Source organism: Homo sapiens, chromosome 17 (assembly GCF_000001405.40).
Source record: "Homo sapiens chromosome 17, GRCh38.p14 Primary Assembly".
In the NCBI taxonomy this organism is placed as follows: domain Eukaryota; kingdom Metazoa; phylum Chordata; class Mammalia; order Primates; family Hominidae; genus Homo; species Homo sapiens.
In genome coordinates this window covers 30364823-30382707 of record NC_000017.11, presented here as the reverse complement: position 1 = coordinate 30382707, position 17885 = coordinate 30364823, and the positions used below count along the sequence as shown (strand labels likewise).

At 44.9% G+C, this 17885-nt stretch overlaps 1 protein-coding gene across 2 annotated transcripts in view, besides 7 other annotated features; it reads right to left on the bottom strand.

Moving 5' to 3' along the window:
- CPD (carboxypeptidase D) overlaps nt 1-3781 on the bottom strand; it is a 91063-nt gene extending 87282 nt beyond the window's left edge. Inside the window, exon 1 of one of the 2 annotated variants that reach the window (NM_001304.5) lies at nt 2982-3781. In NM_001304.5, coding sequence (NP_001295.2) covers nt 2982-3727 — 746 coding nt within the window. In that variant the 5' untranslated portion in view covers nt 3728-3781. Of the gene's footprint in view, nt 1-2065; nt 2231-2981 lie in introns of those variants that run through there. The other variant, NM_001199775.1, reaches the window with a different exon arrangement.
- Nucleotides 2953-3880: an enhancer, noted in NCBI's record as "H3K27ac-H3K4me1 hESC enhancer chr17:28705846-28706773 (GRCh37/hg19 assembly coordinates)". NCBI's record gives its function as "activates a minimal SCP1, AML or CMV promoter by ChIP-STARR-seq in primed H9 embryonic stem cells {active_cell/tissue: H9 hESC(primed)}" and the evidence as "EXISTENCE:reporter gene assay evidence [ECO:0000049][PMID:30033119]".
- Nucleotides 2953-3975: a biological region, named in NCBI's record as "H3K27ac-H3K4me1 hESC enhancer GRCh37_chr17:28705846-28706773".
- Nucleotides 3306-3435: a silencer, noted in NCBI's record as "silent region_8397". NCBI's record gives its function as "represses an Ori minimal core promoter by ATAC-STARR-seq in GM12878 lymphoblastoid cells {active_cell/tissue: GM12878}" and the evidence as "EXISTENCE:reporter gene assay evidence [ECO:0000049][PMID:35858748]".
- Nucleotides 3736-3975: a silencer, noted in NCBI's record as "silent region_8396". NCBI's record gives its function as "represses an Ori minimal core promoter by ATAC-STARR-seq in GM12878 lymphoblastoid cells {active_cell/tissue: GM12878}" and the evidence as "EXISTENCE:reporter gene assay evidence [ECO:0000049][PMID:35858748]".
- Nucleotides 4026-4195: an enhancer, noted in NCBI's record as "active region_11997". NCBI's record gives its function as "activates an Ori minimal core promoter by ATAC-STARR-seq in GM12878 lymphoblastoid cells {active_cell/tissue: GM12878}" and the evidence as "EXISTENCE:reporter gene assay evidence [ECO:0000049][PMID:35858748]".
- Nucleotides 5466-5515: an enhancer, noted in NCBI's record as "active region_11996". NCBI's record gives its function as "activates an Ori minimal core promoter by ATAC-STARR-seq in GM12878 lymphoblastoid cells {active_cell/tissue: GM12878}" and the evidence as "EXISTENCE:reporter gene assay evidence [ECO:0000049][PMID:35858748]".
- Nucleotides 5766-6055: an enhancer, noted in NCBI's record as "active region_11995". NCBI's record gives its function as "activates an Ori minimal core promoter by ATAC-STARR-seq in GM12878 lymphoblastoid cells {active_cell/tissue: GM12878}" and the evidence as "EXISTENCE:reporter gene assay evidence [ECO:0000049][PMID:35858748]".

The window sequence follows — 17885 nt, the reverse complement described above, 5'->3', positions numbered from 1 at the left end:
CATTTTGTTCAACATTTCTTCCAACACTTCTCAGAAATATTGTCAAAATGGCCTAATCAAATACTTTTGAACAATGAAATATTTGCAATCTACTTGAGTAATAAAATTCACTTCGATTTTCCTTACTGTAATTACACAGTTTTGAAAGTACCAGTGTCATTCTTACAATGAAGATTTCAAGAGAAAGTGACTACAATGGCTGTAAGATTATGCTTTGAGTTTTTGTCAAATCAACTTTGCAAATCAACTCCAATCTTATTTGACAGGTACTTTATGGTTTCCATTCAAATCAATTCTCTGAAATGTTTCTCATACTTGACTTCAGTATCACATATCATTCCTTGCATAAGATTTAAAGTAGCTGGTAAATATATTAGAGATATTACAAATGAGTTTATAAATATTAAACAGTTAATCTCTAAATTAACTCTATTACGCTATCCAGGTAACCCTGTAGATAACTTGAAAAAAATTAAGATAACTTGATATCTGACAAACTAAATTTCAAAGATTCAGACAATCATAGATATGTATACATAAGCCCCCAAAAAAATCATCTGCACCCACTCTCAACACTGTAATAATGCTTTTCACAAACACATTCAAATATCATTTATATGCTAATTACCTATGAAAATTTAAGCAGGTATATTCACTTAAAGAAGCATAGCGGTCAACTATAAAAAAATAGGAGTCAACTATAAAATCTTCATTTGAATGATAAAGTTAATTTTTTTATATATTTTCTTAAGTATTTGTCTCAACATCCATTGGATGAAGTATAAAGTGAAACAAAGAAAATAAACTTCATTTTCCCAAGCTGGAGGAAATTAAGCCTTAAAATTTTACATATTCGAAATAACAACAAAAATCTAATTCGAATATAGCTGGGTGAATAGGATATCAAGAAATTACTCAAATGGTTTACCTCACAAAATACACTGAAAAAGGTAGTTTTCCCATACAGACTAATGTTTGAGTATTTAAAAATATCCCATCCATAAAGTTGACACTATATTTAGGCATCAATATCAAATTGTGTGTGTGCTTGTGTTTTTAATTTTATTCACATATCAGTGTCCTTTGTTATTGGTTAATAGCACAGAGTACGCATTTTGAGTGAATTCTTGAAGACTGAGTTAGGATGGATGTACTCTTTACCATATATGATCACCTACTTTCCCTTTTGATTAATGAGAGTTACATATTTGAAGAACAGATATGATTAGGGTAGTCCACAGCCACAGACCAAAATGACTCTGTATAGCCTCAAGGCGACTTGCACCAAGAAAAAGCTTATTTTCATATTTGGTCACAGCACAACTAATACTGAAAAGAAAAATCCAGGCACAGAATTTACATCCCTGCAAGGATCACAGCATTTTAAAGGTGCAAGGACAGAGCATTTTAAACATTTAAGCAATGCAAACGGTGCATTTGTTGTATCATCTCCAAAAAGCCCTGGCCATCACAGCTCTGTCAATAAGTGTATGTCAAAGTCATATTTCTTACGCAGATGTTCAGAGGTGATGACACGATCGTATTTAAAAGAAAAAAAAATCCTCCCAGAAAGTCTATGTGAAATTATATATCTACAAGAGAGCTTATCAAGAGGAGTAAAGTAAAAGATAGAAGACGAAAAGACTCAGGAACTGTCCTAACACTCAAGAATTTTCTAGATCTTCTATATATGACTGAAATCTTGTAGAAGAAATGATTCCAAGTCCCGCAGGGAAACTTCTTTATCTTAGCAGTCCCTCAGAAATCTTCTTTTAATCCAGATGGAATGATCAGTTATTGCTTCAAAAGCCTTATGAAGATACAAAAATGGGGAAAAGCTGATGCTAGAAAAGGGGAAGAGATGCCTGCTCACTTCAGACACTATGCCATCTGGAGTGAGTTCCCTCTTATTTTATTCCTCTCCTTTTTGCTGAAAATCCTGCCCATCTCTGGAGATAGCTCAAGCTCTACCTCTTCCACAGAGATGGTCCGTGTTATTGCAGCCCACACACATCTTGCCAGTGGGAACAATTCCTGTAAAGTTTAACTGGGTACACCAACATACCTCATAAATATTTATAACATTCTCTTGTTTTATACTAATTTCTTGAGGTCCTCCTTCTTCTACTTTGTAATTTTTTAAACCTCATGCAATGCTTAATAACACTTAAAGTGTGTATTAGAAGTGTGACCATTAGCCATTCTGCCCAGGCTAATAAGGTGCACAAATGACATCACAAACCCTTCAGAGTCTAAAATGAAGCGGCTCACAGATCTGTGCAAGTTCTCCAGCTAAGTCCATATCTTCTTAAGCTGAGTCAGAGGTAAAAATTGGAGAAAAATCAGCTTCTGTCAAATAGGCAAGGGGAAGATCCTGGGAATATCATCTGCCATTTTTGGGCTCCAGTGTCCCTCCGTGGCTAAGAGGACTATCGGGAATCAGATTGCCTAATTCTAAGTCCCAGCCACACTCCTATGTAAATCAGTTAACCAATCTGACCCTCAATTTCCCCGTATGCAAAACTGATGGTGTCTATGACATCAGGTTGTGGCCAAAATAAAGTGAGATACTGCAGTCACAGAAAAAATTAGCACAGCGCCTATAACATTAGGCACTTTTGATATAAGATAACAACATTGACAGCTTATCTATAAAATGTGTGAGCTGACCTAGGTTATCCTTAAGATCTCTTCTCGCTCATATTCTATGCCCCTGTAAGAATAGGGACCAGAAATGTCAGAAAGGAGTGTCCCCTCCAGCCATCCCTTGAACAAATGACAGCCTCTAGGAGGCAATTCTTTGATGATTAGCAGGACGGGAGGCTACGCGGCCTGGGCCCTGTCCCCGTTACAGGGTGTCTCCCTTCACCTTCACCACCGCCACCCCTTATGCCAGCATTGTCTGAGCGCCTACTGGGTGCCGGAACCAGCCTCGGCCCTTGGAGGCTCACACGGACGGGGAGGGGGCAGGCAACACTCACTTGTTCCTGCGGATCCACTCGATGAGGGCGCGCACCTCGGGCACCTCGTCCAGGGCGGGGGGTTCGCCGGTGCTAAACTGGTCGGGAAAGCTTCGGTTGAGGTCGCGGCCGCGACTATTGTCGCGGCCGCTGGCCCCGGACGGGCCGCCGTCGCCGAAGCCACAGTCGCCCTCGCGGGCACGCTCGAAGCCATCGGGGTTGAGGCTGGGCAGCAGGTACACGTCGGTGGTGTTGAGCAGGCGGACCAGGCGCGGGTCCCCGCGGCGGTAGCCGGCCGCCAGCTCGCGGGCCAAGTAGATCAACACCTGGCGCGACACGGTCTCGTCGCCATGCATGTTGCCCACCAGCTTCACCTGGGGCCGGCCGGGCAGCAGCGGCCCCGCAGCGTCGGGCCCGGCAGCGTCAGGCCCCGCGTCGCCCTCAGGGATTAGCGACCCCAGGCCGGCGGTGAGGCGAAGCACCCACAGCGGCCGGCCTTCCACCGAGCGGCCGATGCTAAAGAGGCGGGCCAGGCCGGGGAGGCCCGCGGCCGCCGCCTCCCTCAGCGCCGACTCCAACTCCTCTTCGTGGTAGTAGCGGTCGAACTGGCCCTCGGCCGCCTCGGCGCCCGCGCTCGTAGTTGTGGTAGTCGCCTCCGCCTTCTTGATGTGAGCCGCCCGGGCCGAGCTCCCCAGCAGCAGCAGGCACATGAGCAACAGGAGCCGCCCTAGCCGCCAAGGCGGCCGCTCGTCCCGGCCGCTCGCCATCTTCCAGCAGCGCCGCTAACCCCGGCTCCGCTCCCGCGGCTCAGCGCTCCGGGCGGCGGGGGCCCGCCGGATCCCCTCCTCGCCTAGCAACCCCATCCCGCCCTCTGGCCGCAGCCAATCGCGGACGGGCCTGGTGGAGCGTCACCACCAGGGGGCGGGGCTTCCCTTAAAGCAGCCGATTCCCTCTGGGCGGGCCTGCCCTCCTCCCGTCCGGGACGAGTTTGGTCACTCTCTTCCTTCGCCAAGGTTCTTCTTCTCTTCTCCTCCTCCTTGTTTCGTCTTCTGCGTGTGCTCCGCTTCTCGCTTAGTCTCTTCTTTATGGCTTCTCCCCTAAATTATCACCCATTTTTCTCTGAGAACTCCTGCTAGTTCTCTTCCCATCTTTGTTGCTGCCTTTCTCAGCTGCGCTTTAATGCTTAGAACCGAGAATGGAAAGAATCAAAAGGTTCGAAAGAATCATAAGACTAGAAAAAATCAATAGGTTCGAAAGAATCTTCGTTCGGACACTCAAAGCCTTAGCCCAGTCTCCTAGGCGCCTTGTCTCCGCATCCACCCCGCCTCCGCTGGAGCCCCGCTGTCCGCGTGCGGTTGCACGGGACGCCTCGTGGGGAGGAAGGCTCGCACCTCACTAGGCGGTGCATTCATTTTTAGAGTTGCTTTCTGGAAAGGTGTCTCTTTTATGCCTAGCGGAAATGTGCTACGTAGTAGGCTCCCTTTGTGTTAATGTTGTCTATTTCTTAGGCGTCACCCCACGTTGTTTTACTGCAAATAGGTCCCTGTGTGTGCTGGCCTCGACCCTCATTAGGCAGATTTCATTTCACAGCTCACCGGCCCACTTCTCCCACCTCATCGGAGCAAGTTGTATATTTAACTGTGCCCTGGAATGACATATTTTAAAACAGCAGGTTTGACATTTCTGGAAACACTTGCTTGGCATTCCTGAACTCCTCAGTGTCAGCCAAAGATGGCAATTACAGCGTTTCATCAAGTCTAGAGAAGAGGTCTTTTAAATCACCTTTTATAGGCTTTAGTTTCTTTAGCTTGAAGAAACCCAAAACTATCCCTTAATCGAATGCGAAATTCTACCCATCTAACAACATAATCGCAATAACCGGCATTACCTTCTTTCAGAGCCAGCTATTTCAGGGCCCCTTCCCTGAACTATGACTGAACCCTACTTTAATAGAGTTCATTCATTCGTCAAGTATTTATTGAGCAACTTTTATGTCAAAGCTAGATGCTGGGAAACAATTCATTCTTCTGCCCAGTCAAGAGATTCAGTGTAGTTTGTGATAAATGCTACAACAGAGGGGGTACAGGTGAGGGAAATATCTGAACTTGAGGAGGAGGAAAGGAGGAGAGAAACCATGGAGGATGGGAAGGATCCCAGGCAGGAGGAGAAGCAAGCAAAGAAAGCCGCAGGATTTGAGAACAAATGCCTTGTGTTCTGGGAATTGCATGCAGGGTCAGGATTACTGGTGTGAAGGGGCTCACAGGCCAGTCTTCAGGGAGCACATTTGATCTGGAAGGCCATGGAGAACCACAGACGGGTTTTAAGCTAGTTTAGAAAAATTCCTCTGACAGTAACACGGAAAATTGAATGGGAGGCCTAAGACTTGAGGCTGAGAGACCTGGAAGGAAGCTGCAATCCAGGAAGACATGATGAGACTCTGAATGAGGGCAGTGCCAGTGGAGGTGGAAAGAAGGAAATGGATCTGAAAGACCTTCGGAAAGGAAAGTGGACAGGATCTGGAGACAAAGAGGATTGTAGGCTGACTTCAAGTTACAGCCTAAGCAACTTGCAGGTATTCACTGAGGTACAGGCCAGGAGAAAGCACAGGTTTAGGTGAAGATGATTAATTTAGTATTCTGCCATCAGAGCGAGCACCGTCACTCCGGTCCTGTGAATGGCTCTTCTCCATGCCCCATTTGATCTAGTCTACATTATGCACAGCAGCTGCAACTCATCAGAAACAAAGCCACAACTCTGTACAGAGAGACCGCCCACCACCTCCCGGGAGTGCTCAACTATTACACCATGCACTTTTACAGTAATCCAAGTCAAAGAAGCCCCAGAGGACATGTTAACTTCTAATCAAATATTTCCTTTTCTACCACGTTCACTCTCCTTTGAAACCTCTTCCAGCCCCTTCACTCCTGCAGCCTCGCCTAGAGAGGCAGCCTGAAATGTAAATAAACAAGCATGAGGGTGGTGAAATAATATGGGAATGTAACTTGAGCCGGTGTCCTCTCAGAAATCCCCAGGCCTTCCGTGGGCCTCTTTCAGGTCTGCAGCCTTCTTCCTTAGCAGGTACACAGTTGCTTATGGTTATAAGTGAAACCCAAAGCTCTGGACCTCAGTCACTTTTGTGTTTACCTACAGGTTTGTGTTTACCTACAGCTGAATACCTCCAATTGTGTCTGAGAAGTCTTGAACCTTATGACAGGTGTTTCTTTCCTCTTTCCCCAAGGAAAAGGTGTGGCCTTACAAATGGAAGGGACTTGGGAAAGGCTTGAAGGTAAAAAGGCTTCCTGTTCACAGAAGCAGAGTGGCAATGACTTGGATTTTTTTTTTTAATTTTTGTATTTGATACATGATAATTGTACATATTTATGGGATACATTTGATATTTTGATACATGCATACAATATATTATGATCAAACCAGGACATTCTGGATAGCCATCACCTCATTTAGCTCAAAGAGATTTGAAATGTTTCTAGCACCAAGAAATGACAAAGAATTGACGTGGATTTTTTAAAAACAGGGCAAAAGCTTTTAGATGACCAGCCTGATTCAAGAACCATTTTCTTCACAAGATTCGTAGGTAATTAAAGCATAGCATAGACCGGGAACTTGTAAGTGTCTCATTGTCCAGCACAAACACCTGCAGATTTACAAATTCAATTTGACAAATGTTTGTGGAGCACCCAATCTGGCGAAAGGTCTGTTGTGCCAGGTACAGGAGGATTGGAAAATGAATGAAGGGGATCTCTCCCCTCCCAGAGGACAGAATCTAGGAAGGGACACAGAACATAGACACAACACAGGACTGGATGTGTCTGCTGGACAAGAGTTACATAACAGGCACTGTGCAAAACCCTTTACATTGGTTGACTCATTTCATCTTCACAACAGTCCTATGAGGCTGGTGCTATTATCATTCCCATTTCAAAGATAAAGAGAGGAGACATGAGGTCACACAGCTGGCAAGCCACAGATCCAAGACTCAAACCTGGGGAGTGTGACTTCAGAGTCTGTGTGCTTAAATTCTGTAATAAAACTGTTTCTATATAGTAAGCTTAAAAAAACAAAAAACAAAAACCTGTTTTTGGAACACACAAAAGCCATTATAATGAAGAGTCACCTCCCTCGGTGGCTCAAGCCTGTAATCCCAGCACTTTGGGAGGCCGAGGCGGGCAGGTCACCTGAGGTCAGGAGTTCAAGACCAGCCCGGTCAACATGGTGAAACCCCGTCTCTACTAAAAATACAAAATAAATAAATAAAAGAAATTAAAAATAAAAATAATGAAGAGTCAGAGAAAACGTCACCAATACTGCTTGATCATGCTCTTCAACAGCAGAACCAAGTTCAAATCCTGGATCAGTCCCTTTTCAGCCATTGTAACCAGGGCAAGTTACTTCATTTCTCTGAAAATTAAAAGAAATAATACATACATAACATTTAATATAATACTTGGCATATAACAAGCGTTCAGAAATCACCGTTATTTCTATTGTTTTTAATAATAGAAATTCTCAAATGGTAAAAATGGAGAAAAGAGCACTCCAGGCAGAGAGACCAGCAAGGATAGATGCACAGAGAGGGATTTCGTGACTGGTGGCTGGAATACAAGATGTGTTAGGAAGAGCAGCAGAAGCCATGCCTGCAAAGACTAGAAGTAGATGAAGGCTTTGAATACCACACTAATGGGGTTTTGCTTTATTCCAAAGCAAATGGAAAACTTACAGAGCTGTTTGTGAGGAGGAATGGTGTGGATCGCACCTGTGTTTTAGCAAGAAAATTCCAGGAACCATTTGGGCAAGGCTAAGGGATAGCTGCTATCCAGGCAAGAGCTAATTCTGGCAAGTTCAGTGAGGATAAAAAGAAGATAAATTAGAGATGTTTAGGTTGTTGGATTGACAAGATTTAGCAACTTTATGGGTAAAAGGGAAGAAGAAGTAAAAGATGACTTCATGAGCTAGTGAGGGTGACCAGGTAGGTGGCTTTGCCATTATCCAAGACAAAGAAGGCAGGAGAAAAGATGCTAAATGGAGGGGCTTGGAGTGTGTGGGAAAAGAGATTAGGTGTTGATTTTGGGAACTTTTAGGTTTGAGATGCCTGTATGAAATCCAGCGGCAGGTATGTCTAGATAATGGGAACAGTTTTGTTGTTGTCGTGTTTGTTGGTGTTTAAGACGAGGTCTCACTCTGTTGCCCAGGCTGGAGTGCAGTGGCACAATCACAGCTCACTGCAGCCTCGACCTCTCAGGCTCAAGCGATCCTCTTGCCTCAGCCTCCCAAGTAGTTGGGACTACAGGGACATGCTACCACACCTGGCTAATTTTTGTATTTTTTGTAGAGACAGGTGTAAGGTACATGGATGTGCTTTGGTCAAGGAATAGGCCAAGGCGGATATCCAGGCCTGCATGACTTGGAGAGTTTGGCTCGCAAGGGCACCCCTCCACTTGCTATGTAACCTGTTTGTGTAAGTTCATACATGGCCCTGAGCCACTGTTGTCTGTAAAAGATATAACTGCCCTGTTGACACTGTGCATGACAGACATGGCTCTTGGGGCTCGGCTCGGCTCAACATGGCTTAACATGGTGGGCACACTGGTGCCCAGAGAAAGAGAGAGAGAACCAGAGCTGTCCATCCTGCAGACAGACAGATGGGAGCCACAGCATGGCTCGCGCCGGAGCCCAGAGAGAGAAGAAGTTAAGCTGCTGACCCTGAAGGCAAGGGAGAGCCAGCCATGCAACTGCATTGTGAGGGTGGCAGGAGCCGCAGAGCCAGAGCAGACAGCCGAGATAAAGGTGGACAGTATGAGAAAGCTGTTGATGAGAGGTGCTGCTGAATAAAATCATCTTTCACCTGCCTACAGCCCCCCAAGTGTTCTTTCTGCCCATCCACCCACTGCCCTTGGATTCCGCATAGGCTGGACCCAGACCCCAGGATCTGACAACAGGGTTTTGCTGTGTTGCCCAGGCTGGTCTCAAACTCCTGGGATCAAGCAATCTGCCTGCTTCAGCCTCCCAAAGTGCTGGGAATACAGGTGCAAGCCACCGCTCCAGGTCTTTGTTTTTTAAACATGGGAGAAATTATAGGTTGTTTGTATACTGATAGGAATGATCTAGTAAAGAGGGAAAATGTGATGACCCATTAGAGAGAAGGGAGAATTGCTGGAGCCATGGCTTTGAGTATGAGTAGTTGGGAAGGGATAGTGTATCTAATATACCAGTGGAGGGATGGGTCTTAGGTCGAAATACAGACACTTCAGTAGTCACAAATGGGAAGGCAGAATATATGGGCATAGGTACAATTAAGTGGGTAGGTGAGGTATTGGGAGAAGGTTCTCTGCTGATTGCTTTTATTTTCTTAATGAAATGGAAAGCAAGGCCACTAGCTGAGTGTAAGGATGTTGGAGTAGGTGTTGGAGGTTTGAGAAAAGAGAGGAAGGTGTGAAATAATCATCTCAAAGAGTGGGAGAGAGAAATGGAGGGTAAGAACAGTTTCCAGCCATTGACACTTAATAGAGCCCAGCAGTTTTCTAACATGTCATCTAGACCTGAAAGCTAATGGGACATAGAACAGAAGGTTTTTGGCTTTGTTTAGTTCATTTATTTGTTGATGAGGCTGTCTGTCTGAGTTCATGGAAAATGTAGTTACAGCCCAGTGAATTGGGCTCTGAAAATCCAGCGGCCACCCTGAGGGCATGGGAGGCTCCTGAGAAGATGAACATAGAGAAGGAAGAAGAGAGATGGCATCACTGAAAACCTCCACTTCAATTTGCTCAATGCCTGGTTCCCCCTAGTGTTGACTCACCTTGACAAGTGACTACTCGCTGTGTGTCACCTCTGCAAGAGAAAGTCAAATCCTAGCAACTTATAGCCCAGGAAACATTGGTAAGAGATGAAGTCATCTCAGAACCCAAAAGGCAACCAACTGAAAGCAAATTTGGAATTTGAAATATAAATATCATATCAATCACAGTGTGCATAATACTATCACCTTATATTTCTGTGTGCCTTCCGGTATGTTATCTCACACAATGCTCACAACTCTGAAGAGTATCAGGACAGCCTAGAAAGATTCTTGTTTTAAGCTCCACCAGCTCAAGCAAGTCAAATAGCAGGACATGGAACAGCTGGGAACTTAAGCTGTGTGCAAAACCTGTCCAGAGTTCCTGCCATCACATGCTGGGGTTCAGTGCACTTAACTCACTCTAGGGTATATGTACATTGTGCGCACATCTAACTAACAGTGAGAAAAAGTGAGAGAATGAAAGTAACAACTAAACTTAAAACAGATGTAGGGCCTGGCACAGTGGCTCATGCCTGTAATGCCAGCATTTTGTGAGGCCAAGGCAGGTGGATCACGTGAGGTCAGGTGTTCAAGACCAGCCTGGCCAACATGATGAAACCCCGTCTCTACTAAAAATACAAAAAAATTAGTCGGGCATGTTGGCTGGGGCTTGTAATCCCAGTTACTCGGGAGGCTGAGGCAGGAGAATCGCTTGAACCCAAGAGGCAGAGGTTGCAGTGAGCTGAGATCGCACCGTTGCACTCCAACCTGGGTGACGAGCAAAACTCTGTCTCAAAAACAAAAACAAAAAAACAAAGCCAAAACCAGATGTACATGTTGGTTTAAAACTGCAGAAAGGATGTGTAAGTAACTTTAAAGGTTTACTGACCATTAACAAAAATAAAATGCAATATGCAGGTGAACAGTAATGTGGTTAGTACCTGCGGAGGAAGAAATTGAAGAATTAACTGAGGGCCATAGAGACATATTAACTGTTTTTTTTTTTGTTGTTGTTTTTGTTTTTTCCGAGATGGAGTTTTGCTGTGTCACCCAGGCTGGAGTGCAGTGGCGCAGTCTTGGCTTACTGCAACCTCCACCTCCTGGGTTCAAGCAATTTTCCCACCTCAGCCTCACAAGTAGCTGGGGTTATAGGCACACGCCACCACATCTGGCTACTTTTTGTATTTTTCTGGTACAGACATGGTTTCGCCATGTTGGCCAGGCTGGTCTCGAGCTCCTGGCCTTGAGTGATCGCCTGCTTTGGCCTCCCAAAGTGCTGGGATTACAGGTGTGAGCCACCACCCAGCCAGAGACACATAAACTTAAAGGAGAATTAGAGGCACTGACAAGAAGCTGTCCCTAGAAGACAAGGATGATGGAAACATGAAATGGCATGCAATTAGAATTTTCATAAATTTGCTAATGTGTTACAAGCAGCAAAATAATAATAATAATAATGAATGATTTTCTGAAATTTTTTTTAAATAAAGTCTCAAAATGGGCAAATTGAGGGAATTTTCAAGAGAACCTTTGGCCATATCAGTTCTTACAAGTGCTGTTGGTTGTCTGCCCGGATTCTCTCTACCAGGCTCGTGCACCCATCTCCTAGCTGATGCTTACTTACATCTGCATCTTTGTGGGAAGATTTACCTTGGCTGACAGGAGCTACTTTGCCCAGAAATGCCTAAGAAATTACACACACTGCCTCCACCCCACCTCTTCCAGGGTCATCCTACTGGTATACAGGCCCCCTTGCCTCTGGATGAGACAAACTTTGGAGCAATTTATGCTCCAGGCAGAGCTTTCTGCAGAATCAGGCTGAGGTAAGAGTTCTTTTTTTCGTTCTTGCTCAGCATCTTCTTCTGATCTGCTTCCCTTAATCCCTTTCAGGTTTCTCCCAAGGGCACTCTTCAATAAATCACTTACGTAAGCATCCCTGTCTCAGGCTATGCTTTTAGGAACCTGCCTTAGGACAGCCAGGTAGGATATCACTCCATAGTACTTCCCCCTATAGGTTAGATAGAATACATTTTGCTTTCTTTGCATTATGTTTTGTTGTTTGTTTTGGTTTAGGTGTTTAGGTGTGGGGAGGTGTTATTTAGGGTAGGGGGTGGACTTTTTTTTTTTAATCAGACAATCAGACAAAGTCTCACTCTTATCAGCCAGGCTGGAGTGCAGTGGCATGAACACGACTCACTGTAACTTCAACCTCCTGAGCTCAAGCAATCCTCCTGCCTCGCCTCCCTTGTAGCTGGGACCACAGGCGTGCACCACCATGCCTGGCTAATTTTTTTAATTTTTTGTGGAGACTGGGTCTCACTTTGTTGCCCCAACTGTTCTCAAACTCCTGGGCTCACACAGTCCTCCTGTCTCTACCTCCCTAAGTGCTGGGATTACAGGCATGAGCCACTGTGCTTGGCCTGGTGTAGTGTTCTTGTTTTGTTTAATTTTGTTTGTTTAAGAGAGTTTTCTCTTACTTCCTTGATGTTTTCATCTTTCTAGGCCAAAGAATAATAAAAGATGTTTACTGAAATTTCTTTTAAAATTTGGCTGAGGTTAGGTAGGGCTATTCTATTTTAAATTTTAGTTAGTTCTGTTTCTAGGGCATAGATTATGCTGTTTCCCAATTGTGAGAACATGATAGTAATTTTGATCTGTATTTCCAAAAGACTCTCTATTAGCCAGCACTGAATAAACAGTAATTCTATTATCATGAGGCAGGGAAGGAGCAAAGCAGGTATCAGATACTTTCAGTTGTATGAATCAGAAAACCTGACTCATTCTAGCTTAAATAATAAATGGAATTTATTGGCTCATATAACTGAGAAGTCCAAAGGAGAAGTCTGGATTTGGGCATAGCTTTTTCCTGTGTCCATTTTGGCTAAATGGGCACAAAACACCTGGTTTCTTTTTGTCCTGTGGCCCTGCCTTCTACAATGTTCACTTCATTCTAAGTCTGACTCCCCTGGTGATTCCAAGAGGGCTGCCAGAAACTCCCAATGCTACATGCATTCTCATTCATAGTTCAGCAAGAAAACAGAGGATGTTCTTGTCCTTGCAAAATTGCCAAGCGTAACTCAGATTGGAACTCCTTAGGTCACCTGCCTGCTCCTGAACCAATTGCTATGGCCAGGGATATGGAATATGCTGATCGACTTAGTTTAGTATATAAACCCTATTGCTGGTGCTGGGAATGGAATCTGATTCCCATGAACTACATGGATCCCCAAATGAAAATCAGGGCCTTTGGCAACGGGGACAAACCAATAAACACCAACCTGCTTCATCAAACAAGCAAAGGCAGCAGAATATTGTATTCATTCGGCATTTATGAGCGTGCCCTGTCCTGGGCTGGAGGGCACATAACTGCGTATGAGACAGAAAGAAGAAGAGAGGGAGGAAAAAAAGGAAATGCAGTGCAATACGTGACAGTGTGAACAAAGTGTTGCTAAGCAATACCAACATGGCACTTCAGCGTTTATGCTTTTCATACACTTTGTCTCACTAACCCCCACAATTGGAAAAGGAACCTTTGTCTTTATTTTTGGATGCCCGGTGTCTGAACTCCCTCCCTTCATCCGGCGAACCCTCCCCACCTTAGGAGTCGTGGTGGAAGGCAGGGCCTTCTCCCACTCTGCAGGCTGAAAATGCCAGGTGCTTGTTCTCACAGGACATGAGACACATAGTCTAGCTTTAACCAAGCAAACAAACCTGTGACAGACTTTGAATTGGGAGCTAGTGAAACAAAGAAGCAGAGGCTGTGGATAATTCTTTCTAGCTGTGGTGGGGGAAATGGCAGCAATGTATAGCTTCTGGGGCAACAGAGCAAACAGAACACCCAGCCCCCAGCGCCAGTGGTGCTGGCAGGATGAGCTGCAGCAGCTGGTACTTGGTGACAGTAGAGCGGTCTCCTAAGTTCTGCTGCTTGCTTTGCGGCATTCTTCCTTTCTGTTTATAACCCCTGATTTTGCCAACTCACCTAGCAATTCTGTGAACCAACCAATATCCTTTTATTAAATTCATTTTCAACCAGACTCAGTACCTATGGCTGCAACTTATGGAAATATAACTCTTCCGGGTCAATATTATCATAATTTTACAGGTAAGGATACAGGCTCTGAGACATTAGGTTACTGGTGCCCAAGACCACGCTATCTTCCAACTGCAAACCCCATCCTTTGTTCAGTATATGTGTCATTCTTAGGTGAAGAGTAACTGGAAAAGTTTCCTTCATTCCTAAAACATTTCCTTCCTCTCCCCATCTGTTTAGTGCCTAAAATGCACCATTAGAGAGGGGTTCTCTGAGTCTGAAAGGCTTTTCCGTCAATTAAAAGGCAAACATCAAGGAATCTTGAGATCAGCTGACCCTTAAGGAATGGGGAGAAACAGTGGGAATTCTTACCTTAGAGAGGATTTGTTTAACAGGCTTCTTGGAGAGCAAAGGCCAGTGAGAATGAAGTGCAGATGATGGAGAAAAATACTGAAAGAGGAGGAGTTGGGTTGCCAAAGCCAATGGTACCTGTGTGACTGGGGCAAAAAAACAGAACTTGCCCCCACATTTCTAAAGAGAATCTTTGATTTAGCTGCTTGGCCACCTGGATAAACAGTGGCATTCTAAGTAGGGAGAGCATAGGGGAAATGAGATCGCATGACGCTAACGGTTCTCAGCCCTGGCTGCCCTTTTGTTTTTCTTGTTTTGTTTTTTGTTTTGAGATGAAGTCTCGCTCCATCGTGCAGGCTGGAGTGCAGTGGCATGATCTTGGCTCACTGCAACCTCCACCTCCCAGGTTCAAGTGATTCTCCTGCCTCAGCCTCCTGAGTAGCTGGGATTACAGGAGTACACCCCCAGCTAATTTTTGTATTTTTAGTAGAAATGGTGTTTCACCATGTTGATCAGGCTGGTCTCGAACTCCTGACCTCAGGGGATCTGCCCGTCTTGGCCTCCCAAAGTACTGTGATTACAGGCATGAGCCATCGTGCCTGGCCCTGGCTACCCTTTTGAATAGCCTAGGGGACCTTTAAAATTACTGGAAGAGGGCCAGGAGAGGTGACTCACGCCTGTAATCCCAGCACCTTGGAAGGCTGAGGTGAAAGGATTTTTTGAGCTCAGGAGTTCAAGACCAGCCTGGGCAACATACTGAGACCCTGTCTCTGTTTTGTTGTTTTTTTAAAAATATATTAAAAAAACAAAATATACTGGTGCAGGGGGGAATGGGGGAATGGCTGCTTAATGGGTACAGGGTTTCCTTTTGGGTAATGACAATATTAGGGAACTAGATAGAACCAATAGTTGTACAACCTTGTGAATATACTAAATGCCACTGCATCCTTGACCTCCCCGGCTCAAGAAATCCTCCCACCTCAGCCTCCCAAGTAGCTGGGACTACAGGCACACACCATATGCCTGGCTAATTTTTGTATTTTTTGTGGAGATGGGTTTTCGCCATGTTGCCCGTGGCTGGTCTCAAACTCCTAGGCTCAAGACATCGGCCCACCTCAGCCTCCCAAAGTGCGGGGATTATAGGCATAAGCCACCATGCCCAGCCAATTGTGCACTTTAAAATGATTAATTTTATGTTATGTGAATTTTGCCTCAAATAAAAAAAATATTGGCATCCCCTGAGAGGGAAGAGGGTAATAATGAGCTTATATGAGGGTGGAAGCAGCTCTTGAGAAGTGTGCGACTTTAGTAGAGTGACGGTGTACTCTATAATGAGCTCAGCAACTTTCTCCTAGATGCCCTCAAGATCACTTCAGGTGAATAATGAATGGTGAAGATTTACATACTTTACTTTTCAAGGCTTTTATAGGAGTTGGTCTTTGATTTCTTTTGGATGTGAATCTGGGCTGAGACAGGGCAATATAGCTTAGTTTCACCAGGGTTCTACCTTATACCTATTTTACAGGTTAGACAAAGGCTGGCCCTAGATTCTAGCAACAAATTTGAATGGGACCAAATACTGTCTTGCTCAGATGTAGTATGGTGTGCCAGATCTGAAGACATCCTCCAGTAAAAACAGCAAGAAATTGGGATGGTGCACTCTTGCATAAAGGGCCTAGGGCATGACTCCCATCTTCAACCAGAAAAATGTTCAGTTACCAGGAATGCCCTGGCAGCCAGCAATTTCAGCCTCTAATTTTGATGAAAACACTTGCCGAGACTGAATTGGCACAAACAAAGCACATTTACACCCAGCCAGCTGGATTCCATCTTAAGAGTACAAGCTGAAGCTCCAGAAGGTGAAGAGATTGATGCTATTCATGGGAACAGTCTGCAGCCATCTCTCTGTTATAGGCCCGGGTGAAAAAAATGGTACAAGGGAAATTATAGTGCTGGAGAAAGCAGCTACCCAAATACTGCAAGCCCACATACGAACCAAAGCTCCCTGGGAAATCCTAAGTGGGAGGGACATAGAAGAGGAGAGTAGGTCTGCAAAAGACCTTCATAAGAAAAAATTACTAGCTCAAGGGAAACACTCAAGTAAAGGAAAGAACAATGAAGCCACACAAAAGAGGGTGAACTAGTGTAACCAAAGATAAGACAAAACTGGTAGAAATTACAGCAAATCTGAAGCAGATGTTCCAGGCAAGTTCTTTTATGGTGCTTTCCAATGCCACCCTGCTCCCCATTCCCTATCTTTGTCCCTTTCCCAGCACTTGATTCTACTCTCCAAGGTCTTTTGTTCATTTATTGGTTAATTCAACAGACCTTGATTAAGCATGGTCTTTATGCCAGTACAAGGCTGCAGGCATGCAGAAGTGAAGAAAACACAATTAAGGCCAGATAAAGAAGAGCCTTGCTGAGTGCGGTGGCTCACACCTGTAATCCCAGCACTTTGGGAGGCTGAGGCGGGCAGGTAACTTGAGGCCAGGAGTTCGAGACCAACCTGGCCAACAGGAGAAACCCTGTCTCTACTAAAAATACAAAAATTAGCCGGGCATGGTGACACACGCCTGTAGTCCCAGCTACTCAGGTGGCTGAGGCAGGACAATCACTTGAGCCCGGGAGGCAGAGGTTGCAGTGAACTGAGATCATGCCAGTGCACTCCAGCCTGGGTGACAGACCAAGACTGTGTCTCAATTAAAAAAAGAAAAAGGGAGAGAGAGAGAGAGAGAGAGCCTTAGAGACCTTAAGCACTAAAAAGATGAGGGTCTCCTTGTCCCAAAAGAAAACTCAAAATTAAATTTGATTTTTCAAGAGGACATAAACCTTACATGTATGCTAACATTAAAATAGCTTCTTTCTAGATTTGGGGATTACAAAATTCAGATTTCGTTAATTAAAGATGAGTGTTTCTCTCACTGTCACTCTCATCCTGGTATTCCTGCTTTGCTAGTGCCTTCAGGGATGACCCAGCTATAAACATTCCTCTGCCTTTGAAGAGGTGAGGACTCAGGAGAGGACAATTCTTAACTTTCTGGCTACTGTGGCTGCTCTTCTCTTTCCCAATTTCTGGTAGCCAGTGTGGTTGTTAATGAATGGAAGGCTGTTGGGTGGCAAAAGGGGGAGGAATTGATATTCTTGAAAAAGGATTGGCCTATTTGCTGACAAAATTGTTGGACTATTATGTCAGCTGTGGTAGCTGTGCTTCAAGATGTGAAGAATAGTCAGGCGCGGTGGTTCACGCCTGTAATCCTAGCACTTTGGGAGGCTGAGATTGGTGGACAAAAGTTATCCGCCTGCCTCGGCCTCCTAAAGTGCTAGGATTAGAGGCGTGATTACAGGATTACAGGCGTGAGCCACTACACCTGGCCCCGAAAGGAGAGCTATATTTGAAACTAAAAATACAAGGACATAGTCTCAGGATAAAGAAGAGTTCTTGGGACGGGCACAGTGGCTCACACCTGTTATCCCAGCACTTTGGGAGGCTGAGGTGGGCGAATCACAAGGTCAGGAGTTCAAGACCAGCCTGACCAACATAGTGAAACCCCGTCTCTACTAAAAATACAAAAAATTAGCTGGGTGTGGTGGCAGGCACCTGTAATCTCAGCTACTTGGGAGGCTGAGATAGGAGAATCGCTTGAACCCGGGAGGTGGAGGTTGCAGTGAGCTGAGATCACGCCACTGCACTCCAGCCTGGGCAACAGTGCAAGACTCCATCTCAAAAAAAAAAAAAAAAAAAAAAAAAGGA